The sequence below is a fragment of the Homo sapiens genome, chromosome 7, assembly GCF_000001405.40.
Source record: "Homo sapiens chromosome 7, GRCh38.p14 Primary Assembly".
Lineage (NCBI taxonomy): Eukaryota > Metazoa > Chordata > Mammalia > Primates > Hominidae > Homo > Homo sapiens.
Window position 1 is genome coordinate 33,039,857 of NC_000007.14, and position 21,036 is coordinate 33,060,892.

General features: G+C 38.2%; 1 protein-coding gene and 1 pseudogene across 11 annotated transcripts in view, besides 2 other annotated features; both read right to left on the minus strand.

Annotated features, from left to right (window-relative positions):
- Positions 1-21,036, minus strand: part of NT5C3A (5'-nucleotidase, cytosolic IIIA) — a 48,664-nt gene that overhangs the window by 25,744 nt on the left and 1,884 nt on the right. For 4 of the 11 annotated variants that reach the window (NM_001374337.1, NM_001166118.3, NM_016489.14 and 1 more), the window contains exon 1: positions 1,016-1,050. The exons of the other annotated variants lie outside the window; for them this stretch is intronic. The gene's annotated coding sequence lies outside the window, so the exon portion shown is untranslated. Of the gene's footprint in view, positions 1-1,015; positions 1,051-21,036 lie in introns of those variants that run through there. 11 annotated transcript variants of the gene reach the window in all.
- Positions 1,072-1,171: a silencer, noted in NCBI's record as "silent region_18085". NCBI's record gives its function as "represses an Ori minimal core promoter by ATAC-STARR-seq in GM12878 lymphoblastoid cells {active_cell/tissue: GM12878}" and the evidence as "EXISTENCE:reporter gene assay evidence [ECO:0000049][PMID:35858748]".
- Positions 4,344-4,503: a silencer, noted in NCBI's record as "silent region_18086". NCBI's record gives its function as "represses an Ori minimal core promoter by ATAC-STARR-seq in GM12878 lymphoblastoid cells {active_cell/tissue: GM12878}" and the evidence as "EXISTENCE:reporter gene assay evidence [ECO:0000049][PMID:35858748]".
- RN7SL505P (RNA, 7SL, cytoplasmic 505, pseudogene) lies at positions 5,942-6,234 on the minus strand (annotated as a pseudogene).

The following is a 21,036-nucleotide window of genomic DNA, read 5'->3' on the forward strand; positions in this document are numbered from 1 at the left end:
GGCAATTTTAACCAATTTTCCCAAATGGTAAAGCAGCTACTGAGTCAGAATTTTGTGGATATTTATGCAAATAAACAATTTCAATGTTTAGAATTTATTCCTCTATCCTTCCCACATTCACTACCTCTAATATCTAATAGCATTTTTTCAAGATAAGTAAACCACATACAGCACATGGAAACTAAGTAATTTATACTGACAACCCTTAAGACACCCTGAGTTCTTCTGTCCTTGAATTTGTCCTAGGACAACAGCATAGGTGACAAGCACTACCCAGAGATGCCGGGCTTGGATGCAGGCTGCCAATAAAAACTAAGCAAACTGCTTTAAGAAATGATCTGCAGCATGATCTAACTTCTCTGATTTAAAGGAAAAAAAAACCTATAAAATATAGATAATTCAATTATTTAAATATAACTTAGCCATAATATTCTAGGCTTTTACTGTAATATAAATTTTTGAATCTTAATTTTCAATATATAATTTGTTATAAATCAGTAATCTAGCTTTTATCAATTCATAAAACATACCAGTGATAATCCCATTCTATAAAATCCTGGGTAAAGCTCACATGCACAAAATAAAAATTGATAATCTTTATTACTACCCATAATAACTGTTCCTAATCCTAGTAACACAAAGCTTGTGGCTGTCAGTAAAACTGAGTCACATAGCCAACTGAATGAACAACCAAATTGAATCTTAGAGTGTTTCCCCTCAACCTGGAAAGAGACTTCTGAAGGTACTTTGCTTTTTCTCAACATCTACAGGTGAAACAAGAAGCTCTTAAAATTAGAACATATAAAATGTAATTTCTGAGACCTAAGACTCTTCAAAGTTTTGCACATTCATTTCTTCACAAATTATAAAGAAGTTTTGCATTATACTGGAACATTATTTTATTTCCTAAGTTTGTATTTCAAAATGCCCAAAATTTCAGTAAGTTATAGAATCAAATAAGAATCACATAAAGTTAGACAAGAGAAACTCATTTACATGAACCGTACACACTTACCCTGAAGGTAACCGGACGAGCTACACCAGCAAAAGAAAATTCTTCCTGTCTGAGAAGTACTAATATAGCACAAGGTGCAACTGAGGGCGGTTCCAAAAGCCTTGACTAAGCCCTATGCAAAAACCTTGTGACGCACTGCTGCACAGTACTTTATATATGCTCTTGGTTACAGCCTCGCTAGCTCTGAGCTAGTCACAAGTCAATCTACATAACATTATCAATTGAAGTTATGTGACGATTAAAGAGAAGGTAAATCTGTACTATTAGAACTGGCAACTGGCTCTGGAAAGAAAAGAGGAACCTCTACACTAACACTTAAAAACATTCCTTTCCACCTGGTTTGTCAGTGGTTTGTCAGTGTACTTCTGATATGTGAACTTTTCTGTATATTCTATTTTAATACAAAGTTAAAAAGATTAGGTTGCTGTTGCCAGGGCTGGAGGAGGAGGATGGGGAATTATTGCTCAATGGATAGAGTTTCAGTTTTAGAAGATGAAAAGAGTTCTGGAGTGGACAGTGGTTATGGTTGCACGGTAGTGTAGATGTACTTAATGCCACCAAATGAAATGCTTAAAAATGGTTTAAATGGTACGATTTATATTATGTATATTTTACCACTATTAAAAAAAAGATTAGCTCACTTAAAGTCCATAAACAAAAAGACATGATATATGCAAATGTGGTCAAAAAACTGTTAATAGTCTTTATCAAAGGGCAGTGGGATTTAAAGTAATTTTTATATTTTCTTATACTTTTAATAAGACCAGCCATAAAATCTGAAAATAAAAATTAATTTCTGTTTTTAAAAATGGGGGGAAAAAGTTCCTGCCTGTTAAAAATAAGAGCAGTCCAACTGTCATGAAGAAAAAAAAATTTTTTTTTTTAAAAGAGAACTAGTCTTGCTTTTAACCTGAGTAGTAGGGTGGCAATATGCTAATACCATGTGTCAGGACCTGATAGATAAGTTATGCCATGGGCTGTGGGAACCTTTATCATTAGGGAACATGGCTACACTACACTTATGTAAATAAATTTTTATTATCGGCTTTCTCTCTACTGTCCTCAGAGAAATCTAGTCTAGTAATATTTCAGTAATCAAATTTTGTGAAGTATCGTTCTCTATTAAAAACAACATGAAAAAAATTTTAAATTGCTGTTAAAAATGGTGTTAAAAAACTATCCAGGCTGGGTGTGGTGGCTCATGCCTGTAATCCCTGCACTTTGGGAAGCCTAGGCGGGTGGATCACCTGAGGTCAGGAGTTCGAGACCAACCTGGCTAACATGATGAAACCCCATCTCTACCAAAAATACAAAAAATTAGCCGGGCCTGGTGGCAGGCACCTGTAATCCCAGCTACTCAGGGTAGGAGAATCACTTGAACCCAGGAGGCGGAGGTTGCAGTGAGCTGAGATTGCGCCACTGCACTCCAGCCCAGGCAACAAGAGCAAAACTGTCTCAAAAAAAACAAAAAACAAAAAAACCCCAAAAAAACAAAAAACAAAACTATCCAAATTTGTATCTACCAAACGTGAAACCTTTGACACTGCTATCTTATTTAAATAAAATAATAAAATTCATAATGAAACACTCCTCTAAGAGGACAGCCTATTATCTCTAATCAGTAATGAAGACTCAAGGGCCACAAAGGGCTCCATTTCTAAAATATTTCTGTATTATGTATGAAAATGATGACTTAAATGTACTTTAATATTATTAGAGTTGACAATGGTAAGAATTTAAAATACATCACTTTGAAAGATGATTCACAGATCACTTTCAACAACCAAGAATATTGAAATGATAGTTCTACAATCTTTTTGGAGTGCAATTTAGAAATACTATTAAAAGCATTAGAAATATACATTCCCTTTGACACATCAATTTTGTGTCTAGAAATTTTTCCTAAAGAAATTAGGCAGTACACAAAACTTTAGCTGCCAGGACGTATACTGCAAATTTGTTTTATAATTCTGGGAAACTTGAAACAACCTAAATGGCCAATATTCAAATGTTCACTAATACAGAAGAGGTGAATAAGCTGTGATACATACAGAAAATATAAAATTATACTGCTCTTAAAAATGATTATTATGAATAGCTAAAATGTATTGTGTTTACTATGTGCCAGATGCCTCTAAGCACTTGACATTCCTTGTCTCATATAATACTTATAAACAACCCTAGAAGGTATGTGCTAGTATTATTTTCAATTTACTGGTGGGCAAATTAAGCCTTATACTTGATAAGCGGCAGAAATGGATTCTAACTCAGTTCTCTCTAACTTCAGAATCCATGTTTCAGATCACTGCACAGTACTGCTCCATGAGCTGAGTATTTACAGACATATGGTCTACTACTGATTGAAAAAAGTTATAATATCTACAGCAAGAGTCCAATTTGAGAAGGAAAAATCTTTATACAAGTATAGGAAAGTTTAAAATAGAATACATAAGACAGTATTTGTAATGACATTAAGGGGCCATTTTTACAACCTGAGTTTTAGAAAATAAATGTGCTCCTTGGGAAATTTAAATAGCGTGTTAAAAACGTCATAGGAGTAGCACCCATCATGTCCATAATCAGAAAATAAAGTTAAAAACCCAGTCAACATCATATAGTTGGATTGTCTGAAACAATGTTTCTAATGGAGACACAGAAGCAAGGAATCCAGCCAGCTTTGTCGGCTCCAAAACAAAACACTTTATGGCATGAAAAGATGGCTGGTATCTTATCAAGAGGAGTGTTGGTCTCTAAGGGTAGGTGGTTTGGGCTCTGCTGGTGTGTGTGCCTGTCCTGCTAGTCTGATTCTAAGGAGAACAGAGAAGAGAGGGAATATGGATGTCGCTTCCTGTCCATAAGGAACTTCATCTTTTTAATTCCACCCAGTGTGTATGTGGTAGGAGTGGGGTGGGAGTGAGATAGTGGGACTGGTGGGGTGTCCCTGGAAGAGGGACTAACATGTATCAAGCACTTTCTTGCTTTTTCAAAGTCCCAGAAGCATGCGATGGCCCTTTACATACATTGTAATTTAATTGGTGTAATTTTAAGAGAAAAATAATACTTCCTCCCTTTTTATAGATAAAGAATCTGAAGTCAGGAGAAGTTAAGTCACTTACTACTTATGTGACTTAATGTACAAGAGTTGGGACACTTTTTTTTTTCTTTTTTTTTTGAGACAGAGGTTCACTCCCGTTGCCCAGTCTGGAGTACAATGGCGCTATCTGGGCTCACCGCAACCTCTGCCTTCCCAGGTTCAAGTGATTCTCCTGCCTCAGCCTTCCTGAGTAGCTGGGATTACAGGCATGCACCACCAAGCCCAGCTAATTTTGTATGGGACACATTTTGAACCAAACTATATCAGGCTGTCTCTGGGCAACACATAACATGAGAGGGCTTGAGAAGTCTATGAATGAGTAAGAATGTTTAAAAAATATGCCACAAGAAAGGAATAAGGACACAAGCAAAGCACTGAATCAAAGACACTGAATGTTGTTTCTAATAGCTCTAGGGCACTTAAAAAAATTTTTTTTGAGAAGGGATAGAAAGGATATGGAAGTACGAAGTTGTAAAGACAGGTTCTTTAACTGCACAATGGACTTTCACCTCTGTACACAATAAATGGGGCCTGTTGCCTTGGAGTTTTATTTACTCATTGACATAGAAACAGAAATCACTCCTATCACTCCTAGCGGCAAACTCTGGATCTGAAATTCATATGTCAAAGAGCACAGCACTTGTACAGAATTCACAAATGGAAGATTTTTTTTCCTCCCCTTTTAACGCTGAAACTGGATGTCTTTATCAATGGAAAAAGGGATATCCATTTTTATTTCTGAGTAACTAGTTAAGAGCTTTTTAGATAGTCAATTATTCAATCAACTTGAAAAACTAAAAATTATCACTTCATATTTTGCCATCAAAAGATTTCTTAGAAATTCCAAATAATGAAAAAACAAAAAGCCCACAGAAAACCAAATATATGAATTTAAGCTTTAATAACTTATTATTTGTCTTTAACATTGAGACAGGGAAGTAAACAAAGGTACTGCATTAATTAAAAGTTGCATGTAAAAGAAATCACATCATAATCCCACATAAAACTTGTAGCAAGTATTTTTACTTCTCAACAATACAATCTACACTTGCCTACTAATTTACAGTTGGGCTACTATAATCCAATTACCTTTCCAACAAGGAATGTATTTTTAAACTTAAATTGGATGACACCCTAGGAAGTTATTCCAAACAAAACAATGAAGCTGCCATATACGGAAGACAATTTAGTAGAAGATGAGATGCAATAGTCTCTATACTGACTCTTGCAAAACTTGTTCTTGCTAATTGCTGCATGATGTAAATAGAAAGATGATTTTTTTAAACATGCAAAACATCAGTCTAGGTATGTGACTTCTCTTCAAACTTCCCTGAAGACAACAGTGAACTGACTTCAATATTATGACTATTCAAAATAGAACTGAAACAAGGTACTATAAATGTTTATATGAATACGGTTTAAAATGTATAAGGAGCAGAAAACAGAGATGAAATAATCATTTATCATATTTTTTGAAAATGAATGGCAAATGAAAAATTTTTTTTTTTTTTTGAGACGGAGTCTCACTCTGTCACCCAGGCTGGAGTGCAGTGGCACGATCTCGGCTCACTGCAATCTCCGCCTCCTGAGTTCAAGCGATTCTTCTGCCTCAGCCTCCCGAGTAGCTGGGACTACAGGCGTGCGCCACCACACCTGGCTAATTTTTGTATTTTTAGTAGAGATGGGGTTTCGCCATGTTGTCAGGCTGGTCTCGATCTCCTGACCTCATGATCCGCCCACCTTGGCCTCCCAAAGTGCTGGGATTACAGGCGTGAGCCACCGCACCCGGCCCTCATTTTTTTTTTTAATTAAAATTTTTTTTAAAAAAACATAGAGACAGGGTCTCATTATGTTGCCCAGGCTGTAGTACGGTGGCTATTCACAGGCATGACCCCACCACTGATCAGCTTAGGAGTATGGACCTGCTCTGTTTTCAACCAGGGCTAGTTCACCCCTCCTCAGGCAACCTGGTGGTCCCCTGCTCCCAGGAGGTTCCTATATTGATGCCGAACTTAGTGCAGACACTTGATTGGCACAGCACACTAAAGCTTGGAACTCCTGGGCTCAAGTGATCCTTTCACCTCAACCTCCCAGGGACCATAGGCGCTAGGCCAGTACGCCCAGCCTCATGTTTTTTATCATTTAAGATCACTGCAAAAACTTATCCTAGTAGATGACTGTGAGTGAGACTGATTGCAGCCTTATGAATTTACAGACATATGTATATGCAAACTGATGAGAACCTATGGTTCCCATCTCAATGTATTTCTTAAACTTTGCAAAAATCTAGGCCTGGGGCTGAGGCTCACATCTGTAATCCCAGCACCTTGGGAAGTCGAGGTAGAAGGATTGCTTGAGCCCAGGAGTTTGAGACCAGCCTGGGCAACATACAGAGGCCCTGTATCCACAAAAAATGTTAAAAAATTAGCCAAGTGTGGTGGCATGTGCCTGTAGCCCCAACTTCTCAGGAGGCTGAGGTGGAAGGATCACTTCAGCCCAGAAGGTAGAGGCTGCAGTACAATCATGCCACTGCACTTCAGCCTGTGTGACAGGGGGAGGTTGTCTCAAAAAAAAAAAAATTGCAAAAATCTAGATCAAGTAATTTAATTTTCAAAAACTCAAGTAAAATTGTTGAACATGAACTATATCTTTTTTACTTTCTTACTTAAAAAGCATTAAATTCTGTTTTAAACTTTTAGCAGAAATGACACTGATGTTACAATAGGTAGGTCAGGTTCAAGAAAATAGGATGTAAGACAATAACATAAATGAAGGGAGTCTTTCCTGGCTCTCCTTTCAAATGCCATATGTTTGAATATTTCAAGATGCTTAGCACTGACTTTTTTTTTTTTTTTGGAGATGGAGTCTCATTCTGTCGCCCAAGCTGGAGTGCAGTGGTGCAATCTTGGCTCACTGCAGCCTCTGCTTCCCGGGTTCAAACAATTCTACTGCCTTAGCCTCTGGAGTAGTGGGGACCACAGGTGCACCCTGCCACACCTGGCTTCTTTTTTTTTTTTTTTTAAGAGTCGGGTCTTGCTATGGGGTGTAGTAGGTTGGTCTTGAACTCCTATGCTCAAGCGATCCTCTCACCTCAGCCTCCCGAATCTTTTTATTTTATTATAGCTGAATCTCTATGATTGAAATGAAACAAGATGAAAAGCTTTCTGTTTTAATTTTGGACTCCTTCTACATCTCACAATTGGTATTCCTGCCCTTAAAAAGAAACAAACAATATTGTTTAAGATCACTATTTTGTTATAAGTTAAATTAAAAATGGCAAAAAGGTAATGCAATTTAAGCTTTTATTATTGGTGCACTATATCGAGTACATCTAAATGAGGAGTAAAAAGTTAAGATTTAACTTACTACCCTTCCTTCTTACTGTGCCACATAAACACATTAAGTAAATACTAAGGCAAGAGAACAATAAACAAAATTATTTTGAGATTTAAATTCATGAATTAATAGTAACTAGTAGCAAAATTATCTGAAATCATATGAAGGACTGGCGGGTGATAACTTGAGTTGAATACTATGCATCAATTAAATACATTTTTAAATAGTTATGATATCCATGTGATATAATAGCATAAATACAATATAGTTATGAAAATATAAGTATAAATTTATAAACAAATTAAGTAAACAATCTTGATTTAAAACATTACAGAATGACTTCATTTGGGTAAAAAAATTATACTTAATTATATACATAGAAAAATAAAGGAAGTACACTTACTAAAACGGGGGTCTTTTAAGGTGGTGAAAATTATAGATTTCTTTTGCTCATCTAGATTCACTTTTATATCAACGTGTATTGTATGATATAAAAAGAATCAATACAAAATAAAATAGATAAATTATTTATTTATTTGAGACAGGGTCTCACTCTATCACCCAGACTGGAGTGCAGTGGTATGATCTTAGCTTACCAGCCTCAACCTTCTGGGGTCAAGTGATCCTCCTGCCTCAGCCTCTCAAGTAGCTGGAACTATAGGCATGTGCCACCACACCTGGCTTTTATATGTGTATGTGTGTGTGTGTGTGTGTGTCTTTTGATTTCTTACTTAAATAGGATTAAATTCTGTATTTAAATAAACTTTTAGAGGAAATGACATTTATGTTGCAATAGGTAGGTCAGGTCCAAGAAAACAGGATGTAAGATAATACCATAAATGGCGTCTTCATTTATAGTATTGATACATTTGATTTGTGTGTGTGTGTGTGTGTGTGGTTTTTTTTTGATGTATTTGATTTTTAGTAGAGATGAGGTCCCCTTATTTTGCCCAGGCTGGTCTCTAACTCTTAGGCTCAGGTGATCCTCCTGCCTCCACCTCCCAACGTGCTGGGATTACAGGTATGAGCCACCTTGCCCGGCCTGGTAAATAGTTTAAAATAAACAAATTCCTTATAAAAAGCTGGATCATAATTCAGGTACTCATGAGTCCAATTATTAAGACTTCTTTAAAGTTAGGTCACATGACTGGAAACCCATGAATGTGGACCTCATAAGTTAGTTTTCTGAAATCTATAGTGAATCACATGATCGATCTATGCTTGCTATAAGTGTACTAGAGGGGATTCAAAAGTGGGTAAAACATATATGAAAGCTTTATTATCTATAGTAACTTATGTTTCTTGCATAGTTTTAGCCAAATTAAATTTCAGTAGCTCAAAATTAAATAATTATATATGCAATGCCTCCAAGACCCCCGGGTCACTTTAATCATCTCCAATGATTATGGCAGGCATTCAGGGGATCAGGCCCTGTTTTCTACAGTGCTAAGTGCTCAGGTTACAAATTGTTGCTCAAAATTTGGCATAATGCTGGATATCTCCCCATATCCCATCTTTTTAAACTTTAAGAAAGATGTATGACATCACCAAACATTCTGCTATCTCCAAATCTGAGGGCTCAAATGGAATATTGTTTAGAGATAATTTTTTAATGCATTACATAATTAAATCTACTTTAAGAGAGTATCATGTCTAAAAGTAAGTTGAACAAAATTAGCTTTATTAACAGAAGGGAGAAGATAGGACAATATGTATTGAATAACTACTACGTGGTAAGCACTGTTTACAACTTTATGTATATCATCTCTTTTTCAATCTTAATCCAGGAAGGCACTTAGAATAGTATACTGTTAGAATTCTCCAAAATATAATTACTTTAAAACATCAAGTGAAATAAAATACAAACACTAAGAACATATTCTTTATTAATTATTATTATTAGGCCTTATAGCAACATTGCCTGACAAAGTCAAAATACATTCTTAATATAATACCCTGAAGTAAACAAGGCATAAGAGTATTTAGGTGAATCATCCCCATTCTAGATAACTGGAAATTGAAGCTTAGAAAAGTTTAGTATCTTGTCCAAGGATAAACCATTAAAATGTGGCAGAGCTGAGATTTGAACCAAGGACTTACCAACTACTAAACTTTCAAAGACCACCCCATTCCCTTACAAGATTGTCTTCTGTTCAAGCCATAGATTCTATAACTTGTTAAAGGAAAAAGATACTGTATATCATTACTAAATAAGCCACACACAAAGAATTACAGAATAAAAATTATGGAACACTAGAGTTTCCTATCTTACCAAAATTAGGAACATGTGACAAAATCTCTTTTATGTACATATTGTACACAAAATAGAATTTTTATTCTATTTATCTAGCTTAGAAAGACATCAAAATTTTAAAAATTGACAACAGGCCGGGCACAGTGGCTCACGGCTGTAATCCCAGCACTTTGGGAGACCGAGACAGGCAGATCACAAGGTCAGGAGATCGAGACCATCCTGGCTAACACGGTGAAACCCCGTCTCTACTAAAAATACAAAAAAATTAGCCAGGCGTGGTGGCAGGTGACTGTAGTCCCAGCTATTTGGGAGGCTGAGGCGAGAGAATGGCGTGAACCCGGGAGATGGAGCTTGCAGTGAGCCAAGATCGCACCACTGCACTCCAGCCTGGGCGACAGAGGGAGACTCCATCTCAAAAAAAAAAAAAAAAAAAAAAATTACATAAAAATTGGCAACAAATGTACACCTGCTTAAATTACCCAAACAGGGAAACTTTATCCAAAAGCTTCAGAGTACAAGAATCAAACGAATGCTGACTGTGCTACTTAACTAGCTATTTCCTAAGTGAGTTAACAGAAAATTAGGAAAGTAACTACAGCTAGACTGTGTTTTAAGGACTAAATAAATGCGTAGAGTATACTTGGTCAACGTAGGCACCTCTAAATTTTAGTTTTTCCCTAGTTACCAAACAATAGCACAGTGCCAAATTAACCCAAATGGGAGTCAGTTTCTAACTGCTTTCTAGTTCTAGTCCCAGTGAAGCCTCCTTTTTTCTTAAGCCGACTATAGTAAGTTTCTATTTTGCAACATTTTGCTATGCTGTATATAATGCTTGGGTTCTCAACTTTTTCCTGTCTCACTGAATTTTATCTAGCAACTTGTTCCCTTAGAACCCTAACCATTTGACAGAGAAATCCAGATAGACTGAAAAACTGATCTTTTTCACTGGGAAAAGTCTGCCTAACTAATGATATCGGAGATAAGGCAAAGGAGAAGGCTATGCCTTCTGACAAGGCAGTAGAGAAGACAGAATGGGGACAGGAAGGATCTTGCAAGCACTGGCTCTCTACTTCCACCTAATTACAAGAAGGAACTTGGCAAACAAATGAAGCAACTCTTTAATGAACTGCTAAACTACTTTGTAATCTATCAGCACCTTGAAAATGAGGAAGATAAACAACATATATGAAAAAAATGACAAAATGGCATTTAAGTCTATAATGGCAGAAAGTTGTCTTACTTGGTTTAAATTGTATAGATTAATGGTTTAAGCAACTCTGAGAGTTAACATAAAAGTGCGTAACACAAGAAAGATAATTTGATATAGAATAGCAGTGTGTCACAATGGCCAGAGAAGTCTGCCACCTGCTGATGGAAAAACTGAATTGTATAGATTTCCCTACTGCTGTTTTTAAGGAGAGAAAAAAAACCTATCAGGTATGGTTTAATGACATTACATGTCAAGTTGTTAGGCTGAAGATATAAACTACAACCTCTAATTTAAAAGAGAATAAAGATTAAAATAGGACTTAAGATTCTTTATATATCTCTCTCTTTAATAACTCTCTCTAAATATGTAATACCTGAACTATTTTTATTTTTATTTTTTATTTATTTATTTTTTTTGAGATGGAGTCTCACTCTGTTGCCCAGGCTGGAGTGCAATGGTGCAATCTTGGCTCACTGCAACCTCTGCTTCTGGGGTTCAAGTGATTCTCCTGCCTCAGCCTCTTGGGTAGCAGGGATTACAGGCATCTGCCACCACTCCCAGATAATTTTTGTATTTTTAGTATAGATGGGGTTTCACCATGTTGGTCAGGGTGGTCTCGAACTCCTGACTTTGTGATCCGCCCGCCTCGGCCTCCCAAAGTGCTGGGATTATAGGCGTTAGCTACCACGCCTGGCCAACTGAACTATTTTTAAAGCAAACAAAAGAGGTAAATATGGAAACTATTTAACATAAAATACACAGGAACATTCAAACTACTATGAACATTAAGGATAATCCAAAACACTGTGCAAAAAATATAAAGTCCTATAGATTTCACCTCTGCAATCCATCTCTTTTCTGTCTTCCTCTTTCTACTGCTCCCATAACAGTTTAATACTTCATTATCTTTAATACAGGCTTATTTTAATTCCTGCTCCCCACCTCCAGATTCTAATAATATTAATTTAGTGCGTGCTCAGTTATCAGTTTAATTGTATCAAAACACATTCCAGATGGTATCACTTATTTTAAAAACCATACCCAAAGCCTCTCTAGCAAATAAATTGCAAATATCTTATACTAATAGAGATGTTCTACAATGTGGTCCCAACACACTTTAAAAAATCTTGTTGCTTTTAAAAAACCGATTTAAAAAATATATAAAAGCAATACATGCTCATGATATGTCAAACAATATAAAAAGTTAAAGGATGAAAAAGTTGAAGTCTCCCTTCCTGGTCTCATCCTCCCAAGTCCACTGTCATTAGTAAAACTAGAAACAGCTTCTAAAGTTTTTGTTTTGTTTTGTTTTGTTTTGTTTTTTAATTTCCAATGACATAAGGATATACATGTGTATTTCTTTTGGGAGCACAACTGTTCTGCAACTTGCCTTTTCCCCTTGTCACCATTTCTTGAGCTTTTTAAAATGTTAACATAGCCCGGTACAGTGGCTCACACCTGTAATCCAAGCACTTTGGGAGGCTGAGGCAGGTGGATCACCTGAGGTCAGGAGTTCGAGACCAGCTTGGCCAACATGGTGAAACCTCGTCTCTACTAAAAATACAAAATTAGCCAGGCGTGGTAGCAGGTGCCTGTAATACCAACTACTCAGGTGGCTGAGGCACCACGAGTATCACTTGAAGCTGGGAGACAGAGGTTGCAGTGAGCCAAGATCGCATCACTACACTCCAGCCTGGGCAACAGAGAGAGACTCGGTCTCAAAAAAAAAAAAAAAAAAAAAAAAAGTTATACAGATTTTTTTTTCACAGCTGCCCAATATTTTATTATACAAATGCACCATCATTCATTTAACCAATGTATACTGCCTTTAATAAAGTAAATGAAAGTACCTATTTTTCTATATCCTCATCACTCTCTCTTTATACAGTAATTGTCTGGCAGCACCGATTCTATTATTTGTGAGCAAGTAACCTGGAAGTTTTGTTACACATAAAATTTGCATTTTGCTGTAGTAAGAATTTTAATTGTTTACTTAAATGATTCTCAAGCTTTAGCACACATCACAATCACCTGCAGGCTTGTTAAAACAGACTGCTGGGTCCAACCTCAAAGTTTCTGATTGTTTGTCTGGAGTAGGACTAGATAACTCGCATATATAACAAGTTCCTGCTCAATGTTGATGCCATGGTCTGGGACCACTCTTTGAGTACCATTGGTGTAAAACACTAGTATATGGGATCCTGTATTTCAAAATAAGGTTTCATCCTTCTCTAGTTGTCATGGTTTATATAACCAGCTCTTAGGAGCCTTAGCCAGGTTGTAAAAAATTGCTGTATTGTAGGAAAAAATGCCCACCTCTTGCCCGCCAATCAATGGCTAGTATTGGTAACCGAGGTGAAGAAAGTAAAAGGATCTAAAGATGTAATGAGCCTGGGCAACATAACAAGACACTGTCTGTTTTTGTTTTTGTTTTTTTTCGAGACAGAGTCTTGCTCTGTTGCCCAGAGCTGGAGTGCAATGGTGTAATTTTGGCTCACGGCAACCTCTGCCTCCCGGGTTCAAGTAATTCTCCTGCCACAGCCTCCTGAGTAGCTGGGATTACAGGTTTGTGCCACCACGCCTGGCTAATTTTTGTATTTTTAGTAGAGACAGGGTTTCACCATGTTGGCCAGGCTGCTCCAGAACTCCTGACCTCAAGATCTGCCCACCTTGGCCTCCCAAAGTGCTGGGATTACAGGCGTGAGCCACCGTGCCCAGCCACAAGACCCTGTCTCTAAAAATAAAATTAGTCAGGCATGGTGGCACATGTCTGTAATCCCAGCTACTTGGGAGGCTGAGGGGGGAAGACGGTTTGAGCCCAGGAGGTCGAGGTTGCAATGAGCTATGATTGTACCACTGCACTCCAGCCTGGCTCACAGACTGTGATCCCATTTCTTAAAATAAATAAATAAATGACTGAAAGAAAGAAAGAAAGAAGTAATGGCTTTTAGTCAGAAAAAAATTTGTGAATAAATTTAAAATTAAGTATCCAGTTCAAAGGGGACTCCATCTGTTAGGTAAATGAATTCACAACAAAAGGAAAGAGAAAAAAAATTGTAAAGCTAAAACTGTTTCAGGAAGGAGCTGTTTCTAGCTAATATACAAGTAGCTCACTAGATAAGAGAACAACTTTGCATTAAAGTTGAAAATGTGGTTAACTTGTGGCATATGGATAATCTACAGGAAACCTGACAAACATGATTTGAAAGGACAAAGTCATACATGCCTGGTACAAACATTTCCACGTTTACAAATTTGGGAATTCAAGATCATCTTGAATATAGCCTTTGATAATGTTGAGTTTAATGGGCTGGGCATGGTGGCACATGTCTGTAATCCCAGCACTTTGGGAGGTAGAGGTAGGAGGATCGCTTAAGCCAGGAGTTTGAGACCAGGTGGGCAACATGGCAAAACCCCATCTCTACAAAAAATACAAAAATAAGCCAGGCATGGTGGCATGCACCTGTAGTCCCAGCTACCTGGGAGGCTGAAGTAGGAGGATCACTTGAGTCAAGCAGGTCAAAGCTGCAGTGAGCCATGATGGTGCCACTGCACTCCAGCCTGGGTGGCAGAGTAAGACCCTGCCTCAAAAAAAAAAAAAAAGAATTTAATGTATTTCTCTGTTTTTCAAACTGGAACAATCATGATTTTTATCCTTCAAACATCACCACAGCCATGAATCATTATGCAATGTCATTTCCTGTTTCTTTATCACATAGCCTTTTGTTGCTATGTCTCACAACCTTACACAGGTTGAGAGTATCCTTTACCCAAACTGCTTGGGACCAGATTTCGGGTATTTTGGGATTTTGGAATATTTGCACATACATTATATCTTGGGGATGGTGCCCAAGTTTAAATATGAAATTCATTTATGTTTCACATCTACCTTATATACATGGCCTAAAAGTAATTTTATAAAATATTTTACACAATTTTGTGGCTAAAACAAATTTGTGTACTCTTAACCATCAGAAAGCAAAGGTGTCAATATCTCAGCCACTTGTGTGGCATCATGTCAGCGTTCAAAAAGCTTCAGATTTTGAAGAGTTTTGGATTTCAGATTTTCAGATTAGGGATGCTCAATCTGCATTCATTTTGGAGTACTGTTAGGTCTATAGTTTTGAAGCTAGTTGTGACACATAATTGGGAGATTAGCTTCCACATCTCACTAGGACATACAAAGGAGGTGGCTATGTGTTGAGAGCTACTTAAAATCTAGATATTTCAAGTGTGAATGAATATATCTTTACTCGGGGTAAACAAAAGATACATGCTATCGGGCATGGTGGCTCACACCTGTAATCCCAGCATTTTGGGAGGCCAAGGCGGGCGGATCACCTGAGGTCAGGAGTTCAAGACCAGCCTGGCAAATATGGAGAAACCTCATCTCTCCTAAAAATACAAAAATTAGCTGGGCGTGGTGGTGCCTGTCTATAGTCCCAGCTACTCGGGAGACTGAGGCATGAGAATTGCTTGAACCTGGGAGGCAGAGGTTGCAGTGAGCTGAGATCATGCTACTGCGCTCCAGCACAAAGCGAGACTTGGTGTCGGAAAAAAAAAAAAAGAAGACAGAAGCTGTTCTGAGTTTGTGTTCTCTACTGCTGTATTATAAGTAACCAATTAATGGACTCTCTCCCTTTCTTTCTTACTAATAATATCTCATTTTTGTTGGAAGGTGGCAAATGTGCTCAATCAGAAAACAATTCTTCAACTTCACTTACATAAGGGTAGCCATATAACCTTGTTCTCTCCAATTATCTGTAAGCAGAAAATTCAGCTTGACTGAAATAGGTATTTTCTTCCCTGATTCCACCTTTCTGCTGCCTGAAACATGGACGCATTGGCCATGACTGGAACGACCATCTCACGACCATGAAGAAAAGACAAGGGAAATGTCAAAGACCTATGCCTTGGTATCCTTATGGCCCTAATTAACACAAGCAACTGCCTGTTTTTTGGAATTGTCATTCCATTAGAAAAATAAAATTTACTGTTTACTGAAGCCACTGTTTTGGGGTCTCTCTTTCTCTTAGTCAAGTGCAACTAATTTTTAAAGAGACCAGCTAGTCAGGTGGCTCATGCCTGCAATCCCAGCACTTTGGAAGGCTGAGGTGGGAAGATTGCTTGAGCCCAGGATTTTGAGACCAGCCTGGGCAACACAGCAAAGTCTTGTCTCTACAGAAAACAAAAAATTAGCCAGGCATAATGGCTCATGCCTATATTCCCAGCTACCTGGGAGGCTGAGGCAGGAGGAATACTTGAGCTCAGGAGTTTGAGGCTACAGTGAGCTATCATCATGTCATTGCATTCCAGCCCAGGCAACAGAATGAGACCTTGTCTCAAAAATAAATAAGACTAAAAGAAAAGCACCCATTCCAACCCTCAAGGAACATAAATAATAATAAACAATATGAGACACTGTATAAATTGCTAAATTATGAGAAATCATCAGGAAATGCCAAAGGAATTCAGAGAAAATGTTTTACAAAACAAATCAAGAATTCAAAACAGGTCCTAAAAAGTCATAAATCTAAGCACTGATATAAATTAGATAAAAATTGAGATATGGAGATATTTTAAAAGTCTGTCCAGGTATGGTGGTTCACACCTATAATCCCAGCACTTTGGGCAGCCAAGGCAGGAAGACTGCTTGAGCCCAGGAATTTAAGACCAGCCTGGGCAAATAGTGAGACCCCGTCTCTACCAAAAAAAAAAAAAAAAAAAAAAAAAAAAAAAAAAAAAAAAAAATTTAACTTAGCCAGGTGTGGCGCCACATGCCTGTAGTCCCAGCTACTTGGGAGGCTGAAGTGGGAGGACTGCTTGAGCCCACGAGTTTGAGGCTGCAGTGAGCCATGATCGCTTCATTGCACTCCAGCCTGGCAGCAGGGTGAGACCTAGTCTCAAAAATAAAATAAAATAAAGTCTATTTGATTCACTAAAGCAGTTGTTTAAAACTTGGGTTGCTTCTCCCTTCTTTTTTAAAACACAGACTCAATAGTGGGCTTTCGATTCACTCAGTATAATACCCAGAAAACATGTGATATTTTCTTTGTTTTTTTTGAGATGGAGTTTTGCTCTTGTTCCCCTGGCTGGCGTGCAATGGTGTGATCTCCGTTCACTGCAACCTCCGCCTCCTGGATTCAAGTGATTCTCCTGCCTCAGCCTCCCGAGTAGCTGGGATTACAGGCATGTGCCACCATGCCCGGCTAATTTTTTGTATTTGTAGTAGAGATGGGGTTTCTCCATGTTGGTCAGGCTGGTCTCGAACTCCCAACCTCAGGTGATCCGCCCGCCTTGGCCTCCCAAAGTGCTGGGATTACAGGTGTGAGCCACCGCACCCGGCCCTTTTTTGTTTTTTTAACTGCTCCTTGAGGAGCAGGGCTAACTCATAGGCAATGCACCCAGAGTTGGCCTATATTGTCTTAAAGTGGAAGAAGGGAAGAAGTTTTTGTTAACAGTTTATTTACTAGGACCAGGCACAGTTGGTACACACCTGTAATCCCAGCATTTTGGGAGGCCAAGATGGGTGGATCTCTTGAGCCCAGCAATCTGAGAACAGCCTGGGCAATGTGGCAAAACCCCCATCTCTACAAAAAAATACAAAAATTAGTTGGGCGTGGTGGTGCGTGCTTTAGTCCTGGCTACTCTGAAGGCGAGATGGGAGGATGGCTTGAGCCCAGGAGGTGGAGGTTGCAGTGAGCTGAGATTCAACCACTGCACTCCAGCCTGGGTGATCGAGTGAGACCCTGCCTCAAAAAGAAAATAAAATAAAAAAAGAAGTTTATGTCCTAGAAAGAAACACAGTATGCTAAAGTTTTAAAAAAACCACATCAGCTACTTAAGTAATAGTTGACATTAACAACAAAGCAATAAATTGTTGAGATATGTTTAAATTGGAAATGACCATTTTTAACTGGTTGTAGAGGTTCTAGTGATCGTTCCATCTCCCCTATCCCCCACATCAGCTACTTAAGTAATAGTTGACGTTAACAACAAAGCAATAAATCGTTGAGAGATATATTTAAATTGGAAATGACCATTTTTAACTGGTTGTGGAGGTTCTAGTGACCATTCCATCTCCCCTATCCTGCTGTCTAAATAATTTCCTCCCTTCCTCGTTGGTTTTTAGGGGCTAAGCTTAAGACTACACATTCATTCTAGTGTTGTGCTTGCATTTTACTTCACTGGATAAATACTCTACTTTAGAGAATTTAATAAAGGATATTAGAATAACTGAATAAGATTAAGCAATCTCATTTTTTTTTCCTTTTGGCTCTTTCTTTGAATTCTAGTCTCATCCTCTTTTTGGTAGCTTTATTAGAGAAAAACTGAAAATTTGCTGATAAAAATAGAATACATTCTGATATTGCAGGAGAAATTAGAAAAGAAGTCGGTATGTAACATTTGAAAGAGGTGTCATTTAGTAGGAAAAATCAGATTAACTGGATAGAAGTAATGAATGAAGTAGGTGGAGGCAATTAATCTAAGGCTGTAAATAATAAGATGTAATATAATGAGAATATGGAGAGTAAGTAACTATAATTCAGTATGAATAGTACACTTTTATTATTTTTTTATTTTATTTTATTTTATTTTGAGATGACATCCTGCTCTGTCACCCAGGCTGGAGTGCAATGGTGCAATCTTGGCTCACTGCAACCTCTGCCTCCTGGTTTCAAGCGATTCTCCTGCCTCAGCCTCCCAAGTAGCTAGGATTACAGGCACCCGCCACGACGCCCAACTACTTTGTTTTTTTATTTTTAGTAGGGACGGGGTTCCACCATGTTGGTCAGGCTGGTCTTGAACTCCTGACCTCAGATGATCCACCCGCCTTGGCCTCCCAAAGTGCTGGGATTACAGGCGGGAGCCGCCGCGCCTGGCCCAGAGTAGTACACTCTTTCAGAAAGACAGAGATGTTCCGTATTCCCCTCAAAAGGCATCTGTCCACATCTCCCCTAGAACTTTGCTAGACTGATTATTTTTTCTCCTCCTCTTATCTTTAACCATTTGCTTTTCACTACTCCTCTGCCCACCAACATACTTCTGTGCCAACCATTCGAAAAACAAAACAAAATACCCATCCTCAGCACAACTACTTCCTCTGCCCAAAAGTCATTTTTTAGTTGTCTTCACATCATTGTTTTACCAACGGCGGCTCAACCCACTGCTACCATAGCCTTTCAGACCAACTTCTGATCTTGTCATCAACTTCTGACCTTAGAGAAGATGGACATAGCTAATTCTGCCCCTTCTTTTGGAAACATTTCCTGTTATTCCACCTCTGACAGCTTTCAGCATCTTTACTGAACTTGGCATTGCCAAGTTTTCTGTTTTCTTCTCGCTGTAAAACTATGGATGAGAAATAATATCCAGCTCCACACTGGCCATTGAGAGGCTAGACATTAGGGAAAATATTATTTCTAGCCTCAATTTATCTTTAGAGCTCCAGCCTTCCATTTTCAGTTGCTATTGCTAATAATAACAATAAGTAATGTATATATTGGTTACTCTGGGCCAGGCACTTTTCTAAGCACTTTAAATATATTAACTATTTCATGAACATTTCTAGTTGGTCATTCCTTGATCATCTCAAATTTCATATGACTTAAAGTGAACTTGTGATTCCACATTTCCCTTACCTCCTGGCTACTTTCCAAACCTGCCATTTTTTCCTTCTCTTCATCTTGGCTAATAATATAACCAGAATCAGCAGTTACCTGATAATCTTAAAGTTATTTCTCCTTACAATTAATCCCTTTATCTAATGATCACAAATAATAAGCTCTGAAAGAAAGCAATTATGTTCTAGGCACTGTGTTATCTCATTTAATCTTCACAACCTATGAAGTAGGTACTATCATTATCTCCCAATTAATAGATGAAAAATGGGAGATTCAGAGAGGTTAAGTAATTTGCCCAAGGTCACATGGCTTGATAAATGAGAAAAACTAGATTCAAAACTAGGTTTGTATGACTCTACAGTCTGTGCACAAAGTCCCGTTGATTTTATCTCGGAAATGTTTGTCTCCTGATCCCTTATTTCCATACCTGTTGCTAGTGCCATAGTTTAAGATCTCTAATCATCTTTCGCAAGCAATACTACCAACCTCCTAAATTTATTTCTTTCCAGGATCTTCCCTTCCAGTCCACCTTATCTCATCTTCATAAAACATACTGTTGGGTTTTTTGTTTCTCTGTTTTGAGACTCTGGGTGACTCTGTCACCCAAGCTTGAGTGCAATGGTGTGATCACGACTCACTGCAGCCTCGACCACCTTGACTGAAGAGATTTCACCTTCGGCCCCTAAGTAGGTGGGACTACACTACAAGTGTGTGCCACTGCACTGGCTAAAATCTTTATTTTCTGTAGAGAAAGGGTCTCCCTATGCCGCCCAGGCTGGTCTCGAACTCCTGGGCTCAAGGGATCCTCCCGCCTCAGCCTCCAAAAGTGCTGGGATTGCAGGCGTGAGCCACTGTACCCTGCCAAAGCAAACCTTTGATGATCCTTTGTTGCAAAATAAAGAGCAAACTCTTTATAATGGCTTTACAAAATTCCTTTACAATTCAGTTTCTTGATCCCATTCCGTATCTTGCTTTCCTTCTTTTTTTTTTTTTTTTTTTTTTTTTTGAGACAGGGTTCTCCCACCTCACCCTCCCAAAGTGCTGGGATTACAGGTGTGAGCCACCATGCCTAGCCATGACTGGCTTCTTCTGTACATTAATCTTGCTGCCCTATGGGATATTTCAGCTGTAGCATACACAACCCACTAGCAACTTCCTCATGTCTCTCAATTAAAAACTCTTGCAAGACAATGCATCATTTTGACCAAGTCCCAGAAGTTATTGGTTTTCTTAGCCAGTTAGATAGGCCCAACTTGGTTAGGTAGTTAACTCCGTTAGCTGTGACCAATATGAGCTATGTCTGTTGGACATCATGGGTTTGCAGAGATTTTTCTGAGGGAGGAGGGCAGAGGATGGGCAGAGCAGACCTACATTATTACAGAAAGATGGAACTAGGATTCCAACCCAGGTCTTCTGACCCCCAGTCAAATACTTCTTCCACTTGAAGAAGCAACCTATTAAAATTAAAAAAGTTAACATGAAGCTCTTTTCACTTTTTCCATT